The sequence below is a fragment of the Homo sapiens genome, chromosome 2 (genome assembly GCF_000001405.40).
Source record: "Homo sapiens chromosome 2, GRCh38.p14 Primary Assembly".
NCBI classification, from domain to species: domain Eukaryota; kingdom Metazoa; phylum Chordata; class Mammalia; order Primates; family Hominidae; genus Homo; species Homo sapiens.
In genome coordinates, this window is record NC_000002.12 from 74684115 (window position 1) to 74707429 (window position 23315).

The 23315-nt window shown below is 41.8% G+C and overlaps 1 protein-coding gene across 8 annotated transcripts in view; it reads left to right on the forward strand.

The window, feature by feature from the left end:
• The window catches only part of SEMA4F (ssemaphorin 4F), a 55165-nt gene that overhangs the window by 29868 nt on the left and 1982 nt on the right, over positions 1-23315 (forward strand). For 3 of the 8 annotated variants that reach the window (XR_007068742.1, NM_001438790.1, NM_001438791.1), the window contains 2 exons: positions 65-148; positions 6293-9095. Coding sequence is in view for 7 of the 8 variants with exons in the window: in NM_001438790.1 (NP_001425719.1) it covers positions 65-148; positions 6293-6309 (101 nt within the window). In the remaining variant the exon portion in view is untranslated. Of the gene's footprint in view, positions 1-64; positions 644-6292; positions 9096-14884; positions 23307-23315 lie in introns of those variants that run through there. The other 5 variants (NM_001436846.1, NM_001436847.1, XM_047442926.1 and 2 more) reach the window with 4 other exon arrangements.

The window sequence follows — 23315 nt, forward strand, 5'->3', positions numbered from 1 at the left end:
AAGCCTATGGTTTCATCATAATAATATAGGTCATCATAGATTGAGATTGCCTTGTAATTCCTAGGTAAACGTCCTTGGAAAAAAGGGAATATGAACCTACAGGATTCCAGTCAACAAAATAAGCTGTCCACATGCTACCTCTACAAAGGTTTGTAATACAGCTGTCATTAAGATCTTTGCTAGGTAAGTTCTTATTCTACTTTGGGTATTTATTGTGTTACTAGCCAGGGCAGGCTTTGCTATGATGCGATAACAACCCCACACTTTTAGTGGCTTAAAACATTTGTTACTCATGCCGTATGTCTATCCTTAGTAGTCACTCAGGAACCAAGGCTCAGGGAGGCTCCATCTTGACATAAGCTTCCATGATTGTAGAGAAAGGAAAAGGGAACTTGGCTAACCATAGGTAGGCACCTAAAGTTTTTGTCTAGAAGTAACATGCATGATCACATTTCAATGATCAAAGCAAGCCACGTGACTTTGCAAGTTCAAGCAGATGGAGAAGGGCTATGATAGCCTTGTGCTCAGACCACAGTACTAAGCATTTGTGCCTAAAGTATGGCCACAGGGTCAGCGCGGTGGCTCACATTTGTAATCCCAGCACTTTGGGAGGCCAAGGCAGGCAGATCACTTGAGCCCAGGAGTTCCAGAGCAGCCAGGGCAAAATGACGGAATCCTGTCTCTCAAAAAATACAAAAGTTAGCTCGGGATGGTGGCGCATGCCTGTAGTCCCAGCTACTTTAGGAGGCTGAGGCGAGAGGATGGATTAAGCCTGTGAGCCTGGGAGGTGGAGGCTGAAGTGAGCCATGATCGTGCCACTGCACTCCAGCATGGGTGACAGAGCGAGACCTTGTCTCAAACAAAAACAAAACCAAAAATTATGGCCTCAGACCCTTTTGCTAGGACCAAGAGCTGCTGATGTCCTCTTTGTTTCTTTTTTGAAGGGAAACATATACTAAATCTTTGCACTCATAATCTCACTCATCCCTCCTATTGAGCACCTGCTACTTCCTCTCCTTTCTTCTGTCTCCATGGAGTACAGTGAATTTCCTCTTAGAGAAATGGCGACTGGATATTTTAAAAAATACCTGGGTAAGAAGGGCTGTTGAATTAGAGAGGACTCATGGTGACAGGGTTCAGTAAAAAGAGAAACTTAGTGTCTCACTTAGTAGGAAAGATAAGGAGTAGTTATTCCCCAGGATTGCAAGAAGGGCCTCAGGAACTGAGGCCTTAGTCACTGGAATCAGTGTTAATGCCACCAGGATTATTTTTCTTCCATTAGTCTGTCATCTCTGCATGTTCTGCTTGCTGGAAATGGACATATTCCTAGAACTAGGAAAGATGGTTGCCATCTTTCCTTCACCTTCTCTCAGCTCTGTAGGGTAGAGACAAGACTTCTTCTTTAGCTCCAATCCGGGAATCCCAGGGAAGGAGTCTGATTGGCTCAGCTTAGATCACATGCCCACACTGAACCAATGACTGTGTCCTAGGAAATGGGATACTATGATTGGTCAGGCCTGAGTCAAGTCCATGCCCAGGGAGGACAGGATTAAATTGTCAGAACGAGGGACATGGTTAAGTTGGCTGGGCAAATAAAAACCACAATTACTGTAATTTACTATAGCTGTCTTAGAGTTAGATATAGACAGTGACCTTTGAAAACTAAATAAGATCGGAGAAAATTTTTGCAACCTATCCATCTGACAAAGGGCGAATATCCAGGATCTACAAAGAACTTAAACAAATCTACAAGAAAAAAATAACCCCATCAAAAAGTGAGCAAAGGATATGAACAGACCCTTCTCAAAAGAAGACATTTATGCAGCCAACAGACACAGGAAAAAATGCTCATCATTACTGGTCATCAGAGAAATGCAAATCAAAACCACAATGAGATACCATCTCACGCCAATTAGAATGGCGATCATTAAAAAGTCAGGAAACAACAGATGCTGGAGAGGATGTGGAGAAATAGGAATGCTTTTTTTTTCTTTTTTTTTTTTGAGACAGAGTCTTGCTGTGTCACCCAGGCAGGAGTGCAGTGGCGTGATCTCAGCTCACTGCAAACTCTGCCTTCCGGGTTCACACCATTCTCCTGGCTTAGCCTCCCGAGTAGCTGGGACTACAGGCGCCTACCACCACGCCCGGCTAATTTTTTGTATTTTTAGTAGAGACGGGGTTTCACCGTGTTAGTCAGGATGGTCTCAATCTCCTGACCTCGTGATCTGCCCGCCTCGGCCTCCCAAAGTGCTGGGATTACAGGCGTGAGCCACCATGCCCGGCCAAGAAATAGGAACACTTTTACAGTGTTAGTGGTAGTGTAAATTAGTTCCACCATTGTGGAGGACAGTGTGGGGATTCCTCAAGGATCTAGAATTAGAAGTACCATTTGACCCAGCCATCCCATTACTGGGTATATACCCAAAGGATTATAAATCATGCTACTATAAAGACACGTGCACACGTATGTTTATTGTGGCACTATTCACAATAGCAAAGACTTGGAACCAACCCAAATGTCCATCAGTGATAGACTGGATTAAGAAAATGTGGCACATATACACCATGGAATACTATGCAGCCGTAAAAAGAATGAATTCATGTCCTTTGCAGAGATCTGGATGAAGCTGGAAACCATCATTCTGAGCAAACTATCACAAGGACAGAAAACCAAACACTGCATGTTCTCACTCATAAATGGGAGTTGAACAATGACAACACATGGACACAGGGCGGGGAACATCACACACTGGGGCCTGTTGGAGGGTGGGGGGCTGAGGGTGGAATAACATTAGGAGAAATACCTAATGTAAAAATGATGAGTTGATGGGTGCAGCAAACCAACATGCACCCTAGAACTTAAAGTATAATTTAAAAAAAAAAGAAGAAAAGAAAACTAAAGATAATGTTGTTCCTTCCAAATGAAAACCTTCCTATCACTTCCCGTTACAATTAGAATGAAATCCAAATCCTCTGTTCTGATTTACAGAGCCTCACATGTTAGGACCTCTGTCCATCTATCTAAACTATTTTTACTTTCCCCTCACTCAGGAGCAACAGCCACACCAACCTTCATTCAGCTTTCTAGATACACCAAGCTTGTTCCCAACTAGGGAGAACTAGTTGTTTCCCCTGATCTTTGCAAGTCCTTCTGGTCAGTCAGGCTTTATCTTAAACATTGCCTCCATAAAGAGGCCCACCCTGATTACTCTGTATAAAGTAGCTCCCAGTTACTTCCTATCACATCCTCCTATTTTAATTCTCAGCATAGCATATCATCAATTTGTATTTTCTTGTTTGCTTAGTTTAATTATTTTCCTTCTTGTTAGATTGCAAACTCCATGAAAGCCTGAACTATGGCTTTTTTGTTCACTGTTGTATCCCCAGTGCTTAGAACAGTGAACAGTGCCTGACACATAGTAGATGCTCAATATTTATTGAGTGAATGAATATGGCCATTGCCGAGCTGACCCACTGGGTAATGGAAAGAACGCAGGTCCTGCTGAGAGGCCAACACCATCCACTGGTCAGTACTCCTGTAGGAGGCCACTTAGCTCCCAGCTCCTGTGGTTCTGCAGTACCAAGTGGCAGCCCCTGGGATCCTCTGCTCATAGACTCATGGTTTTCAAGGGATAGCTTTAGGGTGTCCTTCTCCTAGACCTCAAATGACCTCTCCCTGTCTGTGTTCCGAACTCCATCCTGGACCCTTCTTTGCTTTGGGCCCTAATTTGTGTCTGGTTGTCCACAGGTAGGTCCTCTCTGCTCTTTCTTTCAGAGTGAAAGAATCAAAGTATCCCTGGAAGGCACAACACCACTTTGCAAGCATAAATTCCCTAATCATAGTTGCCCTTAATAATAATAATAATGCCCTAAAATATAATCATCTACTAGATATGATGTGGGCATTGAGCTAAACATTTTTTACATCAAACTCAATCTCAGAAAGACTGGTGGTGTTAGCCACATTGTCGGCCAGTGAAACTGAGGCTCGAAGGAGAAATAACTTGCTCAGGTCATACAGTTAGTTTGTAGCTGAGTTGTGACTAAAACCCAGGTCTCTCGGATTCCAAAGCTTGTGCTCAGAACCCCTGCAGTGTACAAAGTACCCAAATAGTGCCCATTACAGATCAACTTCCGAGAACTGGGTCTTGCCTTCCTAGAGTGGAGTGGTGTTTCCTCCTTCACTCATTGTTCATTTCATATATATAAAACAGAACATGATCATATTTCAATACGTAACTTCTGTACAACCAAAAATTAAAACACCACATTAAAATAAATGAGAAAAACATGGTATTTCATTTGCAATACTTGAAAAAATGTTAACATTCTTAATCATAAATGAGCTTTTAGAAATCAGTAACAGGCTAACATTACAAGGGAAATGAAAATAAAAGAAACAGGAAAATGAAATAATACACATGATTAATAAGGTGATATGAAGATGATGTAGCTTAACATTAATAGATGAAAAAGCAGTTTCTTTGTAATATTACATTATCAATGATCACAAATACAGAAATCTAACATTTGTATAGAATTTTAGGAAATAGGGAACTCTTAAACACTGGGAAAATTTACTCCAGTTTTGGGAAATTTACTCAAAATTTAGATCTTGTATGTACTTTGCCCTGGCAGTTCCAATCTGTAGGAATTATTCCAACGGAGTAGTTGGACAAATTGAATTTTATGTATAAGTATGTTTCTTACATAGAAAATCTATAGCTAATTTATCACCCCCAACTACTTATGTATCAATTGATTTAAAAAAATAGATTGGGGGGTGTTCATTAAATATTAATTTAGGTCTATTTAGGTCAGGTTCTGGGCTAGATTCTGGAGACACAAAAGTGAATAAGACATAGTCCCTGTCCCCTTAAAGCTCATAATTCAAGGATAGGCAGATGAGTAAGCAGACAGCAACACACTTTGAAAGGCGCTATTGTTAAGGTGTGTTCCAAATCTGAGGAACCCAAAGATACCTCATTCTACTGACCTCTCTTCTTAACTAGCAGCTTGAGAAACAGGTTTGGGATGCCAATCAAAGCATTTGTACCACCTAACCAGACTCCCCTGAAGCTACTGAGACAGTCTAATGTAGTGTAGTCTAGTGAGACATATACATGCCTCATTTTGTCTTTTGTGTATATCAAATTTTACATAATAAAACACTTTAAAATAAGATGTTTTTCTGTCTATGGAACCAGAAAAAACAAGAAAAAAAGGTTGGTGACCTTGTGTGCTCCCCAAACAAGGATTTGTGGAGAGTGGGCATTCTATACTATTGTTGGAAATGAAATTAGTACACACTCTATGGAGGGCATTCTGGTAATATCTATTGAAAACTTTAAAGTGTATATATCATTTGATCCAGTAATTACACTTTTAGAAATTTATTTTAAGGAAATAGCAGTATAAGTGTGCAAAGACATACTTCTAAAGATTTTTATTTTTATAATAATTATAAGCCTAAAATGTTGGGAAAAAAATCAATTATTCAACAAGTGAAATTTGGTTAAATAAGCTTCAGTATTGACCTGAAAAAATGTCCACATTGTTAAGCAAAAAAGGAGGAAACAATAAGAAAGAGAAAAGTGTTTCCTGACAGACAGGAGCTGGCCTGGCACTCATAGCCAGGCCTCAGTGTTTTCCTATTGAACATAAAGGATTTCATAGAACACCAACATCAGACAAGGACACTCAGTGCCAATGATGAAGAAAAAAATGAGATCACTCTATAATCATGTCTCAACACAGGCAAAACAGGTACATTGTCCAGACCACAAAATGACCGAGCAGCCTCCTGTCCTGGCTAATAGGAATGACTGGTGCTTCTTTACCAGTTCTTCACTGGCTTTAGCCTTGCAGCAGTCTTCCCTCCTTCCGGATGAGAGTTATTAAGATACCCACGCACAGAATTACCCTGCTTCCTTAAACCCTTCTGCAAACCCCCTAGCACAAGCCTGAGTCCCATAATAAGTTCTTTCTAACACCCTCTTACTGAAACACCCCACGGTTCCCCATGCCATGCATTCTCCCCCGCAGCAAAGAGTAATAACCCCAACTTGCTTGACTACAGGTGTGTTCCCAGTGATCTTTGGCTGGACAGCAATGACAACCAGTACTATCTTACAATCATTTGTAATAGATAATGTATTTCCACTGTTATAAAATTGTGTGGCATAGCACACAACAAACTGTTAGCAATGGTCACCCCTGATGAGGGGTTTTACTTTTGATTTACTGTCTTATTTATTTATTTATTTTTTACAATGTGCATGAATTGAGATAGAAGGAGGAGGACGATGAAGAGGTGGGGAAGGAGAATAAGTGAAGGAAAAAAATGGAAGAATGAAGAGAAATGAAGATGGCAGTGGCAGCAGCACTAAGACGTTTGATAATGATGTTATTAGAGGATATTTATGTTCTTTAAATATCTATAACTAATATGCATTACACTTGAATATGAAAAACAACAGTTATTTTTAAATGAAAGGAGATTGTGATTTTTCCGGAGAAATACAATATGACTATTTCTAATTTTTTATTTTTGCAATAGTGAAGTAGGGATCTCGTGCCCGACTAACATTGAACACAAGTTTGAAGACTTTTGGTTTTCTGGGTCCATTGCAGTATAGTTAGATGCAGTAGGTGTCGCTTTTTCCCCAAGAATAGCCTGTTGCTAATGCTGGTGGAAGTCCCTTCTGAGCTGTGCCCAATTCTGTCAATTATCTGTCTTCAAGATTTGCCTAATCTCTAACCTTTGAGTAATGTGTACTTGTAGTTTTCCTTCCTTCTGTAATTTAGATCCATGATCCAATCTAGATAAGGGAAATTACTACACATTCTTTATTCCTTTCTGTAGAACTTTCACATAGCCATCCTATTAGATTTTCGTGGTCATCCAAAGTGCTTCAGGCAGGTATTATTGGCTTCATTTTAGAGATGAGGAAGGCGAAGTTCATTAGAAAACTGAAGTCATTAACAATTAATTGGTCAAGGTTTCTTTCCCCTCCATTAGCTAATTCAAGAAACAAGGATATAGGCAGCAAATAAAGCACGATTTGTGCTTTAAATATATGAATATATATTTACTGTTGTAAATATGTCAACCGTAAAAATACATTCCCATCAGTCTCTGAGAACTGCAGTACAAATTATGAGAACTGACCATGCTGCTCACGTACTGTGATTATGCAAAAGCTTTCAGAGATGCATTACATGGGGGAGCCCTCTCAACTTTGGACAAGGTGTGCAGCCTTCAGAGGTCTGGGAGTTGTTCGGAAACACCTAGGCATCCTCGGGGAGCATGCTGAAGGTGACTCATGTTTGCATGTGTGTGACTTGGGGTTACGTTATAAACATGAGGTTTTGTGCTGAGTGGTAATATCAGATGCAAAGGACTGTTTGCTCCCTCTTTTGGAGGTCTCGTACTTTTCCAAACCTTGCATGTTATCAATTATCAGGCAATCATTTCCTGAGGACTGCCACATAGCTGCTGCTTTCCCTTTTCCTAGTTTGCTTTTCCTAAAACGTTTTGGAGTTAGAAATCAAATAACCAAGCTAGGTAGAAATGAGCATAATGTAAAGTTTTCCCAGGTTCAAAGTAACTCTATTTGAAGGCATTTGTATTGGTGCATTAATTCCTGGTTCATAACTAAATTATGGAAAGGAGACACTGACTGATAGGAAGCTGGTTCTGGATAGATGAGGGATGATTATGCCAATATTTTTCAGAGTCCCAAGATGATCAAGGCCAGCTTTGATCTCAGTCTACTGAGTCATGCTGGACGTATATATGGCTCGGTCACTCCATTGCTGCAGCCATTGGAATGCTCCTGTCGGGGGTAACAGTGTCCAGCCTTACGGAGCAGGCCTGACCACCCTCCGATGGTGTGGTGGGCACTGGGCCAGGAGGGAAGCTGGTGGGGTGTGGGGCAAGTACCAGGCAAAAGAAGTACCAGGCTCTAGGGGCAGACTGCTGGATTATGACTCAAGTTGACGCAGGAAGATAACAAATCCAGTCCTCTCCCCAGAGGAATTGAGACCTAGGAGTGGCCTTCTCACAACTTCAGGGTGCAGGGTGGAGAATAAGTAAGGATCAGATGCACCACACATACCAGCAGCTTGTGCCAGGCAATGTGCCTAAGATGAGGTGGGGAAAGGCAGACACAGAGTTCATGAAATGTGGCCAACAGAAACGAGGTAGCAGAATCCACCCAACTAGCTGTCTGAAATACAAGGCAGGGACCCAAGGGAGGAAACACATATGGGGGACATTTAAGGTCCCAAGAGACCGGGGATGAGGTGACAGGACCTGGTATGCTCTGCCTATGACCTTCAGCCCCATTGTGGGGCTGAGAAGCCTGGCATTTGGAGGCTTCAGACTGCCACAGGGATCTCCAAATTCACCCACTGGGGAGGCAAAGGCTTCTGTTGGATGTGTGGCAAGGAGGAGCCCTCTTCACTCAGGCAAGGTGGGCAGGCTTCAGAGGGCTGGGAGTTCTTTGCAAACAGCTAGGATAGGGCTAGGACTGGGTATGAGTACTGAGGACAGGGGCCATGGTCACCTGGGAAATCAAACCCAGAGTAAGCTTTTTTGGAGCCCACAGATCTGAGGCTTCTGTTCAGAGGGGCAGGGACCAGGCAGAGCAGACCAGCTTGGTTTTTCACAAAGGTGGGAGTGAGTTGGAAAGTGGCCTTAGGTCACAAACACTAGCCACTTTAAGAGAAATGCAGCTCATCTCACTGACCTTGAAATGAGTTTTGCATGTGCACACACGAGTGTGTTTATTTGTGGGTGAAAGAAATTTATCTAAACAATTACATACATATGCTCGTAATAAAGCATTTAGGACATGCTGAAAAGTAAATAAAAATAAGAATCACTTCAAAACCCATAGGCCAGAGATACAATCTGTAAATATATTTTGGTGGATTTCCTTTCAGACTTTTCTCTATGTATATATTCAACATAGGGATATAAATAGATATTTTCAATAAACATAGTATGATACTATTTTGTAAACTGCTTCTTCCATTTGATACTATATCTTGGGTACTTTTCCACAATAAAATGTTATTCTATATCATCATCCTGCATAGGATTCTGTTGCTTGATATTTCTTATTTTAACTAACCTTCCATTGATTAACATCACATCATTTGAAAATAATACATTTGTTTCTTTCTTCTCTTTCTTATTTCAGCATGTTGGCTGGAACTTCCAGAACTGGCCCAGACAGAACTCATTCTTGACTTGAACCTGATTTTATAGCAGTGCCTTTAGTATTTCACCATTGTTTTTCACACTTCCTCTTGGTTTCTAATAGGTTTGTAATACAGAGGGAGTCTTTGCATTACCTCTAACACTAACAGGGTTTTATATTTTTCTTTTAAGAGGATAGGATGGATGTTGAATTATGTCAAATATCTTCATAAGCAGCCAGTAAGATGATGGTATAGTTTTTCTCCTTTAGCCTGTGAATGTCCTAGTGCTGAAGCCACGTTGGTTCCTAAGATCATCCCTGTGTTAGTGGTTTTGCAGATCGGGAAGGTGAAGTTGTTGCCTTGAAAATATTTCAGAAAAGGTAGCATGCTTTATAACCTGTGCTATACCTGCTCTTTTTAACTGTAAATCAAGGAAATTGTCCTCTATCAGTTCATAGGGTGTTTCCTCATTTTTTTTTTATTGCTACAGTGTTCCTTTGTGTGGTTGTGTCATAGTTTGTTTATTCAACCAGTTCCCAGTAGTGATAGATATTTGAGGTGTTTCCAGTCTTCTGCTGCAGTAAGCAACCCCATAAATCCATTATTTTGTAGGTGTGTGGATATACTTTAAAGTAAATTCTCAGAAACGGGACTGCTGTGTTAGAATGAACCAGGAAGCTTTCAGCCTTTTAGAGATAGATTACTAACAGATAAACTCTGATAGACTCAGGTAAACAGAGTTTAGACAACTTGGCTATAATATATTCCTATGTTTGATAAAACATCTGCAGACAAGACAGTTGAGCCTGGAATTGCTGCACGTGTGTGTGCATGTGTGTGTGCGTGCTTCTTTCATACCTTTTATGCTTTCTTCTTGATATTCATGCTTTCTCATAGCGATTCACATCCTTCAGTCTCTCATTTTTTTTAATGCACTTAGATTTTCCAGCACATGATGGAAGCAAGGAAGGTGATGAAATCATTGTTAGACATTGAGCAGCTTGGGGCCAGACACCTTGGCAGGTGCTCTGAGTATATTATTTCGAACTCTCATTTCAACCACACCAAGAGCCCTTTTGAACTCTTTTTACAAAATGAGGAACCCAGAGCTCAGTTTGCTCAAGGTCCCCAGCTAGGAAGTAGTAAATGCAGAGTTTGAAGCCAAGTCTATCTGCTCCACAGCCATATCCTCTTTATTAGCCACACCCATCCAGGATTTTTCCCCCAGCGTTCCTATTCCCAGTCATTCCCAGCTAACAATGAGTTGGGAAAGACTGATGCGTGGTGACATGTCCTAATAGTTAAAAACAATACCATTCAGCTTCTGGCTTATTCTTTTAAATAACAGCTCTGTGTTGCTATCTTCATTTTGATGCCAATCAGGTAAAATTAACAAACACTTGTGGAACATCTTTCAGGTGGAAAGCATGAGGCTAGTTGCTGTAGGGAATACAGAAGTGTAAGTCAAGACTTATGCTGGACAAGCTGAAGCTTAGTCTTGCCAAGCAATATGTACATTGACTGGTTAATGTAGCCTGTTTCTTTTTAGTGCTGAATAATATTCTATTGTCTGGATGTGCTGCAGTTTATTTATCCACTCGCCTCCTAAAGGACATCTTGGTTGCTTCCAGGTTTTGGCAATTATGAATGAAGCTGTTATAAACATACATGTGCAGGTGTTTTTGTGGATATGTTTTCAACTCCTTTTAGTAGATACTGAGGACTGTGATAGCTGGGAGGAGAATTTTTTTTATTATTTGAAATTTTGTTTTTGAACTAAAATGGTTTTTAAGGAATAAAAAGAGGAAAATTGTTGTGCTGGGATCTCTGCGTGTCTCAGCAGGTTATAGCAACACTGTCCACAACAGCATCAGACACTCAGCCAGATGTGAGTCGAGTTGCCTCCCGTGTAGCTGGGAGCAGACTCAATTGCAGAGCTGGTGTCTTATACTCGTAGAGCTCCTCTATCCTCCTTGAACCTTCAGGCTCTGTCTCCATGCTTCTCACACAATGATCTCCTTTGCACAACCTCAGAGCACAACAGTGCTTCTTTTCTGCACAGAGCACTCCCCTGTCTGGACTTTTGTCGTCCTCAGCCTTGCCTTTTTCTCTCCAAATGTAGCAGAGCAGTTGGCTCACCTTGTTTTCCATATCCTCTACCCATGGATTTCTGTTATCCCTACTCCCTCATCCCTACAACCCTCAACAGAAGTAAATCCAAATCAATGAATAAAACAACTGGACTTTGTCATATAGAGGGTAATTCCCCAAGAAACAGGACGCTGTATTAAACTCTTTCAAAAGAGTAAATGAGTTACCTTTTATATGACCAAATTGCTTTCTAAAAGGACTAATCCAAGTTAAAGTGCAAATTTAAAAGCCTCTGAATAAAGCCTAAGAGAGAAGTACATGGCATGGACGATTGACAAATATAATCCAAGAGCAGGAAGTAACCAGATATGAATTGTGAGATGCTGGGAATTCTCCCGAAGTTGGTGTCAAACATACTCATTAAACTTGATACTGTCTGTACAACGAAAGGGCACAGAAGGGAGTGGTAATACAACACAGGGTGCGATCCAGGAAAATACCTTATTTATAGAAGAGCAAGGCTGTAAGGGACTGAGAGCATACAGGGCCACCCTAGTCTCACAGCTGAGCAAATTCAGGGAAGCCAGGGCCCCACCTAAAATCAAATCTGAACCTCTGCCACCTAGTTCAGCACTCTTTGCCCATTTAGAAGGCATTCTGAAGTGATTTTGAAAAAATCTTTATTAATTTCTTTTTTGCAAAGTTAAAATATTCATGATTAAAAATATATATATAAAAGTTTGTATACTGAAAAACATCTCTCCTGCCTCTTTTTTTTTTTTTTTTTTTTTTTTAATTGAGACGGAGTCTCACTCTTTCGCCCAGGCTGGAGTGCAGTGGTATGATCTTGGCTTACTGCAACCTCCACCGCCCAGGTTCAAGCGATCCTCATGCCTCAGTCTCCCAAGTAGCTGGGACTACAGGTGCCTGCCACCATGCCCAGCTAATTTTTTTGCACTTTTAGTAGAGACGGGGTTTCATCATGTTGGCCAGGCTGGTCTCAAACTCCTGACCTCAGGTGATCCACCCACCTCGGCCTCCCAAAGTGCTGGGATTACAGGCATGAGCCACCGCGCCCGGCCCTGCCTCTCTTATTAATTTCTTCTGTACCCTTCTAGTGTTTCTTTGTGAAAATACAATCAAATATAAAAATGTGGGAAGGGGGTGAGGGATAAAAAAACTACCAGTTGGGTTCAGTGTACACTGCTCAGGTGATGGGTGCACCAAAATCTCACAAATCACCACTAAAGAACTTACTCATGTAACCAAATACCACCTGTTCCCCAAAAACCTATGGAAATAAAAAATATTTTTAGAAAAGAAAGAAAAAATTAAAATATTAAAATGCATTCTTATTTCCATTATTTTTTACATAAACAATATATCAAGGAGATCCTTCCACATAAGTGCATAGAAAGTGTCCTTGTTCTGTTTTAAATTATTGTGTTGTAAGGCTGAATCATAGTATATTTAACTAATCTCTATTTATGGACCCTGGGGTTATTTCTAATCTTTTGCTCTTACAACCTGTGGCGTCATAACTAACTTTGTACATATGTCATCTCATAAGAATGTATATCTGTGGATTCCCAGAAATGGATTTGCAAGGTCAAAGAGTAATTGCATGTGTACTTTTGACGAATATTACCAAAATACTTTCCCAAAGGCCTGTACCATTTTGCATTTCCATGAACAGAGTAGAAGTGTGCCTGTCTACCCACAGCTAGAGTTAGCCCTTGCTGGAGATCTGTCTTCCCAGGTTATAGTCTTCTTGGACTAAGATTAAATTCTTTCATCTCTTGAATACATACTTGGGGGCATTAGTCCTGAGGCATGCTGGGTGACATGGAAAACCAGCATTGACTCAAGAACTTGGCATGGCTAGAGCTCAATGTATAGTCCAGAGTATCAGTGTCTGTCACCCCAGATTAGCTCTTTCTTGCACTTCTCTTTGAGAGGCTGTTTCTTAGAATAGCCTTGAATGTTGGGCAATCAGGTGATCAATTCTAATTTTATCCTCAAAGTAATCCTGGAGAAGTGAGGGGGCAGATATGACTTCCGCTTGACAGATGAAGAAGCTGAGGCACAGAGGGAAGAGATAGCACCCTCTTACTACCCTCTTCTCTTCTGAGATGAGCCCCAGTTGTAAGATTGGGGTCTTGATGAACTGGAGAGCATTTTGAGAGGGCAACACTTTGAGGTGGGGTTGCCTCCTGCTGGGGAGGTGCAGATCATTCAGAGGGAGTAGAGAGCAGCACATTGAAGGCCTCTCCAGGCTCCAGGCTTTAGATAGAAGAAAGAAACAATCTTTAGTTCAACTTTGATCCCTAGTTTACTTGTGTTCTTGATGTTCCTTTGGGCCAGGGGCTGGACCTCATTCATCTTCGTACCTGGAACCTCTAGGATTAGCAGGGCCAGGGCAGCAGTACAAACAGAGGATCCCAGCCCCCAGTCTTCCCCCTTCTCTTCCTGGCCCTGGCTCCATCTTGCATCTCAAAAAGCCCTGTGCACTGGCCTCAGCCACCCCTCAGGCCTGGGAGTTCACTCACAGGCAGCAAGGTCCCCTCTCCAGACCCAGAGAAGATGCTTGTCCAGGCCCTGGAATCAGGATCAGGACTGTTTGGATAGGAAATTCCAGGGTCCCAGGTACCTGCAAGATGGCCCAGAAGGAAGTTTGGACTCCAGATGGGCACATCCCTTAGGGACCATAGATTTCCCCAAAGAAGAACCCTCTAAAACATAGGTCCTAGGTCTAAGAGTGATGCTATGGGAAATAATCCAGTTAAATCATGAATTCAAAGGGACTAGACAAAGCTGGAAAATCCAGGTATGAAAAAGCTAGATGCAAGTCAGAGAAATCTGTTCATAAGAAGGTTTTAAATGGGGAGAAAGGAAGCAGAGGTTGTAGGAGCCACATAAGCAAGAAAATATAAGTATGATACATATTATGGGATGGGATGGGATGGAGCTGTCATAGAGTTGGGGTACATTGTCTTATAGATGTTCATGGAGCTGGCTGTAAGTGGGAGCTATCCTTTTCCAGACAGCAATTCTTGTCTTCTGTCCTCTGCTTAGAAGGCAGAGGTATCTGTAAACTCAGTCACAAAAGTCCTTCCCAGCCTGGTTGTCAGGCCATTTTACTCCACCCAGATTCAGGGGGCCCTGCCTCAAAGGATATCTCGTTAGGTTTGTTGAAACAGAACCTTAGCACAAAGGCCCTACTGCAATACGAGTCATGCCAAATCCATATCCACTGAGAGGTTCCTTACAAATATAACTAAGTACAAATACCTCCAAGAAAGTCATGCCATGGTGAGTTTTCCTTTGACTATCAGTCCTTCCCACTTGAGAACGTATTCAATTTCTTCTCTTCTCTCAGGTATCCTAAAACATCCCTGTTGTTATTTCCACTTCAGAGGGTCAGGGCCCCCAACAGCAAACCAATGCCCAATTAATAAGCAGCAGTAGTACCAGGTTTCATGGTATTTGGTCAAATCTGCATAAGCTCCATTTTGCTTTCTTACAGAATCACAGACTCCTGAAGTTTGAGGGAATTTTTTTTTTCTTTTTTTTCTTTTTGTAGAGACGGTGTCTCACCATGTTGCCCAGCCTAGTCCCAAACTCCTGGCCTCATGTGATCCTCTCGCCTTGGCCTCCCCAAAGTGTTGGGACTACAGGTGTGAACCACTGTGCCCTGTCTTATTGAGGGAGTTTAAAGCCTGGTGCTTGAATGCTGTCAATAACTGAGGTAACTTACAAGGTACCCAAGTTTACCTTTGAGCTACTCTGACTTCCAAAGGGTCTTCTTTAGGTTCAGCTGAAATCTGTCTTTTCCAATTTTCCAATCATTAGTCCTCATGTCACCCCTTGGGGTACACACAGAATATCTCCAGCACCTTTCCCAGCTGACCCAGACTATGGCCCACTTTACTACCATAATCCATCTGAGTCACCTCTGTGGATCAGATACCTCCTAGGTTTTCAGCCATTCTCCACATGACATGGCTTCAGGAACTATCCCCTACACCCACATGCTGAGTTTGCAATGCCTCAGGGGGACCTCCAAGTGAAGATGCCACATAGGCTGTTGGATAAATAATCTGACATTCAGAGGGAGGACTAAGATAATGGATATAGATTTGAGAATCATTAGCTCATGTTGGGGGTGGTTGAAGGTAGTTGAGGTCACCTATGGAAACTGTAAGATTAAGAGAGGATGGAACCTGGGGGAAGATAGATTGTTCAAGGGTAGGTGGAGGAAGATGGAGGAGCATACAAGAGACATGGAGAAGGAGCGGTTGGAGAGGCAGGGGAATGACCAAGAGAGTGTTACCATAGAAACTCAGGGAGGAGGGTGTTCAAAATAGGGATAGCAGTGATGTCTAATATAGCAGAGGCCCAGGCATTTGTCAGCTTCTCAGAAGAAGTGAGAATGAGAACTAGAGAACATAGGGCTGAGGAGAGAATGGGAGGGCAGAAGTGGAGGCAGGGAGTGAAGACAACTTTTTGAGCTGCTAGCTGGGAAGGGGAGTCAAAGGAGTGCCATTTGTGATTAGGGTGGGAGAGACCCGAGCTTGTTTCAATGCTAATGGAAAGAGCCAGGAGGAGGATGAGGTGGAAGATATGAGGAGAGTGGGTGGAAGATATGCGGAGAATGGGAAGAACACCACGGCTGACATGGTCTTGAGGAAGAGCGTTGGGGGCATGAAAGGACAGTGGAGGGAATTATTCTTAAATAATCTGCAGAAAGGACAGATAATTCACAGAGGGGGAGGAAAGGCAATGTGGATGGGCTTCAGAGCAGACATCTCTGAAAGAATGTAGGGGTAGGGTAGAGGGCAAGATGTCTAGTTTTGCCTTGACGTAGTAGATGAGGTCATCTGTTGCCAGTAAAGGGAGCAATGGTAGAGTAAGGGTCTGAGAATAAATGCCACATGTGGGAATAGGTTCCCCTGCTCCTCACTAAATGATATGTCTCCTGCCTGACCCTGAGTAGCACCATGGCTCCTGCTGCCCCCTACCCCATCCATGGCATTGGATCCAACCATTGGCCTGAATGGGACCTCAGTTTATTATCTTCAGCCTCGCAGGCTAGATTGCTGATTAATACTCTTGTTGTCCAAACTCTTCTCTTAGATAAGGCAGAGCCTGGGGGTGTGGGAGGGATTCTTCCAAGTGCTTTAGAAAAATCATTTATTCCTCAAGCAATCATACAAAGTAGGCACTAGTGTTATCTCCATAAAAAAACTGAGGCACAGAGAGGGTAAGTAACTTGCTCAAGGTCATTCAGTTGGAAGAGCAGAGCTAGGATTCAAATCTCAGGCACTGGTTCCAGAGACCATGTTCTTAACTTTCTTTAGTAAAAGAAAGTGAAGGTAACATGCAGAACAAAGGACAGAAGGAAGGTGAAGAGACAGTTCTAATGGTGTTTCAGTTCCTGGTTCTTGTGCTTGAGGTCTCTGGAGAATTCCTGGTTCCTGCTTTCTTGAGGCTTAATTCTTCAGTTATTCATTTGATGCTGTGAGATACCCCAGTGTCATTCTAGTAAAACATGAAATTGGAGAGATTCAGCTGGAGGTTCTGATGCATTCCTGGGACACTTAGCCTTCAGTAGCCCCTGATATTTGGGGATCTCTGATGGGTGGGGTATGGCTTAGCCAGAGGGGAATGTGTAGCACCCAGCTGCCTTGCTTGTGGGAGAGGATGGGGCTGTTGAGGTTACTGAGCTGGAACGGGCATGGAGGTCTCCATTGTTCTGACCTTGCCTTTCCTGGATTGCCCCACATTCCATCCTATTGAGGTGATCACTGGTTCACTGGCAGAGATGGGACACTGTTTATCAGTTCCTTCTGGGTTTCCCTTCCTTCCTTACCCAGCCTGGGACCCACTAGCTTTTTCAGCTACATTCTCATCAATGAATCCCACCTTTCTCTCCCTGCGCACCTGTCAGTGTCAGGCCATCTCCCAGTCCTGAATCAGCCCTACCATTTATTTTCTCTAGTCGAACTCAGCTATAGAAAATTCCACAGCCAGGTTGAGTGGTTCCAGAACAAATTTATGACTTCCAACCTCAGCTGTGTTCACAATGCTGCTAAAAAAATCTTTTCATTCAGTCAGTACTTTTCAGATACCCCAAGTCCATTGCTCTGAGCTCTCGCCATGCTCCGTGAGTCCCTCCCCCAACCTCAGCACCTCTCGTTGTTTGTAGCCTCTATCTTCACAGCTGGGGGCAGGGGTGAGATGCATATTGACTGAGTAGTTGGTGAAGTGGTACATGCTGTGCCTAGAGTATGAAAAGAAATGAAATTGGAGGATTCTCACATCACACTATGAAATCTTTGTCACTTGTTTCAGTTTAGAGATATGCAAAGTCACTGAAAAGAAGCAAGTTGGATCCCAGGTCTGGAGTATGGCTTTAACCTGTCTAAAAAGAATGTGTCTATTTACAAGGGTCTTGGGCAGCCTGGAAGCCCAGGAAAAAGGTAATCCCAGAGGTCAACCATTCCAGCCGTTGAGCAATTGCAATTGATCACACATACACTCATGGAGTTCCAGTGGGACCCCGATGAGAAGGGCATTGTGGTAAACTTGAGCTTCATAATGCTGCAGCTGCAGCAATTTGGGGAACACTGAGATCTCTCCATGGCTCTTCCGAGCCTCTCAAAAACATTTAACACAATCATCAGGATTAGGGACCTGACAGCCAAGAGGTAAGTTTGGCAGCCCTGAGGCATTTGCTTTTAACAAGCTCCCATGATGATGTCAACTCCCCAATTTATATCTCTAGCCCTCTTGCTTGAACTTCAGACTATTGACAACTGTTTACAGAACATCTGCTCTTGAGTGTTGAAGTGACATCTCAAATTCAAGATGACCAAAACTTAACTCCTTCCTCTGCCCTGAAACCTGTTCTATCTGCAGTCATCTCCATTCAGTTCATGTTTATGATACAGCTAAAATTGCTCATCAGCATCTAATGAAGCAACGAAGCAACTTTGTCAATCAGACATTGTTGTTTTACTTTCTTTTTCTTCCATAAACTTACTCTATGGTAGTTCTTTTGTTAGTATGGACTTTGAACTCTTCCTGGGCATCTCCAGACCTGGTCTCTCATCAAAAGGCTGATCTCATCTAATTAGGGCCTGAGGACTGCAAGGGAGGGAAGATCAAGGGGAATCCTAGAAACCTGGATTCCGTTCAGGCAGGAAAGCAGATTGATGATCAATGGCCTGGGTCCATGCCACTTACTGCTTGTGAGACTAGGAAAGTTATTTACTTTCCAGACGATTCATAGATCAACCTAGGGGAGGGGGTGTTGATTAAATGAGAATATGTATAGTCACTGATGCATAGTAAAAGCTCAGTTAACTACTGGTAGTAATGCTTTATCTTAGGATATTCTGAGCTAGAAATAAAGTAAAAAATGAAATTGATTTGGGAGCCTAAAGAAATTATCCTGAAATGCATAAAGAGAAACATGTAAAATACTCATTGAAAAGCTGAAATGGAAAATGGTCATTTTCCCATAGATATTGGTGGTTCACTTCATAAATCTTTCTGAATTAATCCTTTAATTCAGTATGTATTTATTGAGCATTTACTATATGTTAGGCTGTTAGGCACTGCTCTAAATGCTGAAGAAAAATCCGTGAGCAAAACAGGTGAAAATCCCTACATTTCTGAAGCTAACCTTCTATTGGGGGTCATATATTGAACAAAATAAATAATACTACGGGTTGGAGGAAAGGAGATGATTCATTTGGAGTTTTTAAGTAGAGTGATCTGGGACCTAACGTCATCTTCTGAGCTGGGGGAAGATACAAAAAAATCTTAAAATATAGTCCCAGCCCTCCAGAAATGCACATTTTGGTTAAGGAAATAAGACAGGATTCACATGCCAATTTTGGTGATAGAACAAACAAGGCATTATTATGTACATGGAGACAAGCAATGTTCTAAAAGGTCAGAGAAGCTGGGGAGCAGGAAGGGATGCAGCCCAAGGACTTGTTGGCATGAGTGGTCTGGAAAAGTCTCCTGAAGGGAGTGGAACTTAGCCGCGAAATAGTGAAGCAAGTTTTCTTCCATCCTTCCTCCCCTCCCGTTAGCTGCTGGGAAGCAGCTTGTGTTGCAATGGGCCAAAATGAAACACTAATCTTGGCCTTTTCCAGGAAGAGGCTGTCATGGGGAGATACCGTAACGGGCATAGAAAAACAATCACAATAGCTTCAGTGGATCCCCACGTGACCTGGCCAAATTGGCTGGAGAGGGAACAAGTCTTTCAGGTCAAGCTCAGGCTTTGAACTCAGTAGGAACCAACCCCTGCAGATTCAGTAACACCTTCTACTTCCAAATCTTTATAGCATGAAAATCCAAGGGGGCCACAGATTGCTCTGAGTTAACCACCAGGAGCTGCCAATAGGAGGGTCCTCCTGCATCTCTTTCTTAAGGCTTTGGGTTTGTACCTGTACTCTAGAGATGTGGCCAAGCCCCACTTGTGGTCTGTGTTAGAGGAGCCCCAAAGAACACAGACACGAACCTTGGGGGTGGTAGCCAGGTGTAAAGTAGGGCTTGAGAAGAGTGAGTTCCTAGTACCCATTTTAGATTAGACTGCACAGGGGAGAAGACAGGCAGGATGTGTGAATCAGGAAATAGATTGGTTCTTTGGGCCTAAATGAGTGTCAAATCTCCAAAGAGTCAAGTACATTAAATTCATCCCAGCTTGGTGAGGTAGGTGCTAAGTTTTTCTAACAAAGTAGATGTTTGAATAATTGGGGCCTTAGATGAGTCACTATAGTGGACTGGGTATGGAGAGGGGCAGCATTATTGATCTCCTTTTCCTCATTCTCCATGTAGAATTGCTACTAGAGTCTTACCTCTATTTTCTCATGGCTATTTGGCCTTCAACTTGAAATAGTATCTAGTATGATGCATGGGTTGGATAAAGATGTCAGCCCTTGTAAAATATTGCAGTTACTTTGAAAAAAGGCTGGAGTTCTCAACTGGGATCCCTTCTTACCAGCTACGTGGCCTTGAGCAAGTTGATGCACGTCTCTCAGGCTGTTTTCTTGTCTGTACAATTGGCTAGTGTAAACTTCATGAGGTTATTGTAAGGATCAAATTAGATAATGCATGTAGAGTATAGCACCAATAATTGTTTATTGTTATTACTTTTATTATCTAACCAATTGGAGATGAGGAAAAGTAATTATTAGGGGACAAATATTGTATAACGAGCCGACACAAGAGTGAGTGGAAACTGTAACTTGCCTACCAATGCGGGCTGGATTCACACTTAGCCAGACGTCTCCAATAATGCTCCCAGCCCTAGCAGAACCCCAGTTGCCCTCCGAATGGTCACTGGATTTGTCCCTTCCTATCTTCTCTCCTTCTCCAAACCCGGCCCCATAATCCTGACCTTCATTTCTGCTAGCCCTGGAATCCTATGATTTGCCCTGCTCTTCTTCAGCTCCTCCCAACACTGCAGATGTCTTTGTTCTCCTATGCGTTTGGTCCTCCTCCTGCCCCTCAATCCAAGGGTCCATCAGTTTCATGCAAATTAGGATCATATTCTCTTCATGACCACTCATCCTAGAAGGGAAAGCTTGCAAATGTGCAGATGGGTTTGGTGTGAGGGTCAGGATGGACAGAGAAGTGCATTTATTCAGTCCAACATTTTCTAAATACAAATTACATTTTTTAAAAAAGGAAATTAAAATAACAATTAAATACCATTTCCCCATGGCAAAGGCAAGCAAAGAATGACCGTATACCCTGAGTAGGTGAGGAATATAATTTGGTAACATCTTTCTGGAGAGCAATTAGGCAATGTATTTCAAAAGTGTTAACATTTTCACATTTTCTTTATCCTAGCAATTCCACTCTTAGGAATTTAATTGAGAATAAGAACAAAGATTTACAAGCTTGTCATCACAGTAATTGCCTGGAAATAGTGAAAAAATTGCAAAAGATCTAAGTATTCAAAAATAAGGAATTGGTTGAGTAAGTAGAGACATCCCTGTATAGGTTTACTCTGTAGCCATAATGGATAATATTGAGAAATCTATTTATGGTCAATGAAAGATGTTTGTCATATATTATCATATAAAAAGCAGATTATAAAGCACTATGTACAGTATTTTACAATGAGTATTTAAAAACTTTTTATAGAAACAGGGTCTTGCTCTATCACTCAGGCTAGAGTGCAGTGGCACAATCATAGCTCACTGACGCCTCTGACTCATGGGATCTGGTGATCCTCCTGCCTCAGCCTCCTGAGTAGCTAGGACTACAGATGTGTGCCACCATGCCTAGCTAATTTTTAATTTTTTTTGTAGAGATGGGATCTTGCTATTATTGTCCAGGCTGGTCTTGAACTGCTGGTCTCAGGCAATCCTCCTGCCTCAGCCTCTCAAAAGCACTGGGATTATAGGTGTGAGCCACTGGGCCTGGCCATATTTGCACATTTTTAAAGTTTCAAAAGATATGTATCAATTTATACACTAGTATCTTGGTGTTTGGAGGTTACAAGTTATTCTCTATTTTCTTTTCTTTTTTTTTGTATATTTTCTGATTCCTTTATGGTTAATGTGAATTAGTCATGTAATTACAAGCCATTTTAATTTGCATTAAATTACTAGTAACACATTTTAGGCTTTGGGAATTCAAAAAATGAATAAGAGAAGGAGAAACAACATTTATTGAATTTTTTTTAACATTTTAGGCAATGAGCTGAATCCTTTGTATAATTTAATTCATTTAATTTTTACCATAATTGCATGGGATATTATGTTTCCAGTTTACAGATAAGGGAACTGAGGCTCATAGAAGATTAGAAACTAGCCTAAGATTGTACATTCAGTGGGATTTGAAACCAGATCTGACGCCAAAGAACTTATCGATATTCATACAGGTTTAAAATTTTTCCATGACACCACAGGAGCTTGCAGTATTAGAGGGGCTCAGAACCCACAAACCCAAAGACTTCAGGTCCAGGCAGACCCAGATCAGTGGCTCATGAGTGAGACAAACATAGGGTCATGGAGATGCATAGAGGGGAGATCTGGCTGCATAATCAGGGAGTGAGATCTGATGTGAACTTGATGTCAGATTTCAGGAATCAGCAATTGAGGCTAGAGCTTTTCCCGAAGGCCAAAGAATGTGGGTGCAGTGGCAAGGAGGAAGAGTAGGGACAGATGGGTTGTCTGGAGTAGACGTGGGGAAGTTTCTGACACAGGCAGTACTGGACAAGGTTGTCTGCACGAGGTTTGTTGATTCATATTTCACGGTTAATCTCTTTGCATTTATTTATTTTATAGCATTACCACTTTTGTGTCATTGATTTTCACTTCTGAGTTTGCCTATTTGTTTGAAATCTCTTCATCTCATTTCTATTAGTTTTTATACTCCATTGAGCACTTCTCAGTGAGTGAGCATTTTCACTTCACACTCATCAAAGAGCCAAATGAGGAGAGGAGACACCCTAACTGCAGGGATTAGGTAGTAGGCTTCAGAGGCAGTGACCAAGCAGGATCCCTGGTAGGCCACTCCCTCTCCTCTGCTACCTGGAAGCAGAACAAGGCTGGATCTCACCCTTCTGCTACCTGCATTTAACTAACTAGGAAGTCATATGGGTTATATTTTAAAATATATTTTAAAAATATGTATCTGACAAATGCATTTCATGATCCTAGATTGGATTCTGGGTTGGAAAAAATTACTATAAAGTACATTGGCAAAATTTGAATGTAGGCTATATATTGTATAATAGTTTGTTATCAATGCTAAATTTTCCAAATTTGTTAATTATACTGTAGTTATATAAAAAGATCCTTGTTCTTAAAAGACAGATGCTGAAGTATTTGGGGTTAAGGAGCATGATGTCAGCAACCTATTCTTAAATGGCTAGGCAAAACCAATAATAATGTGTGCATGTGTGCAGATTATCTATTTATCTATCTATCCATCTATCCAACTATCTAGAGAGAAATAAAACAAATGAGGCAAAATATTAACGA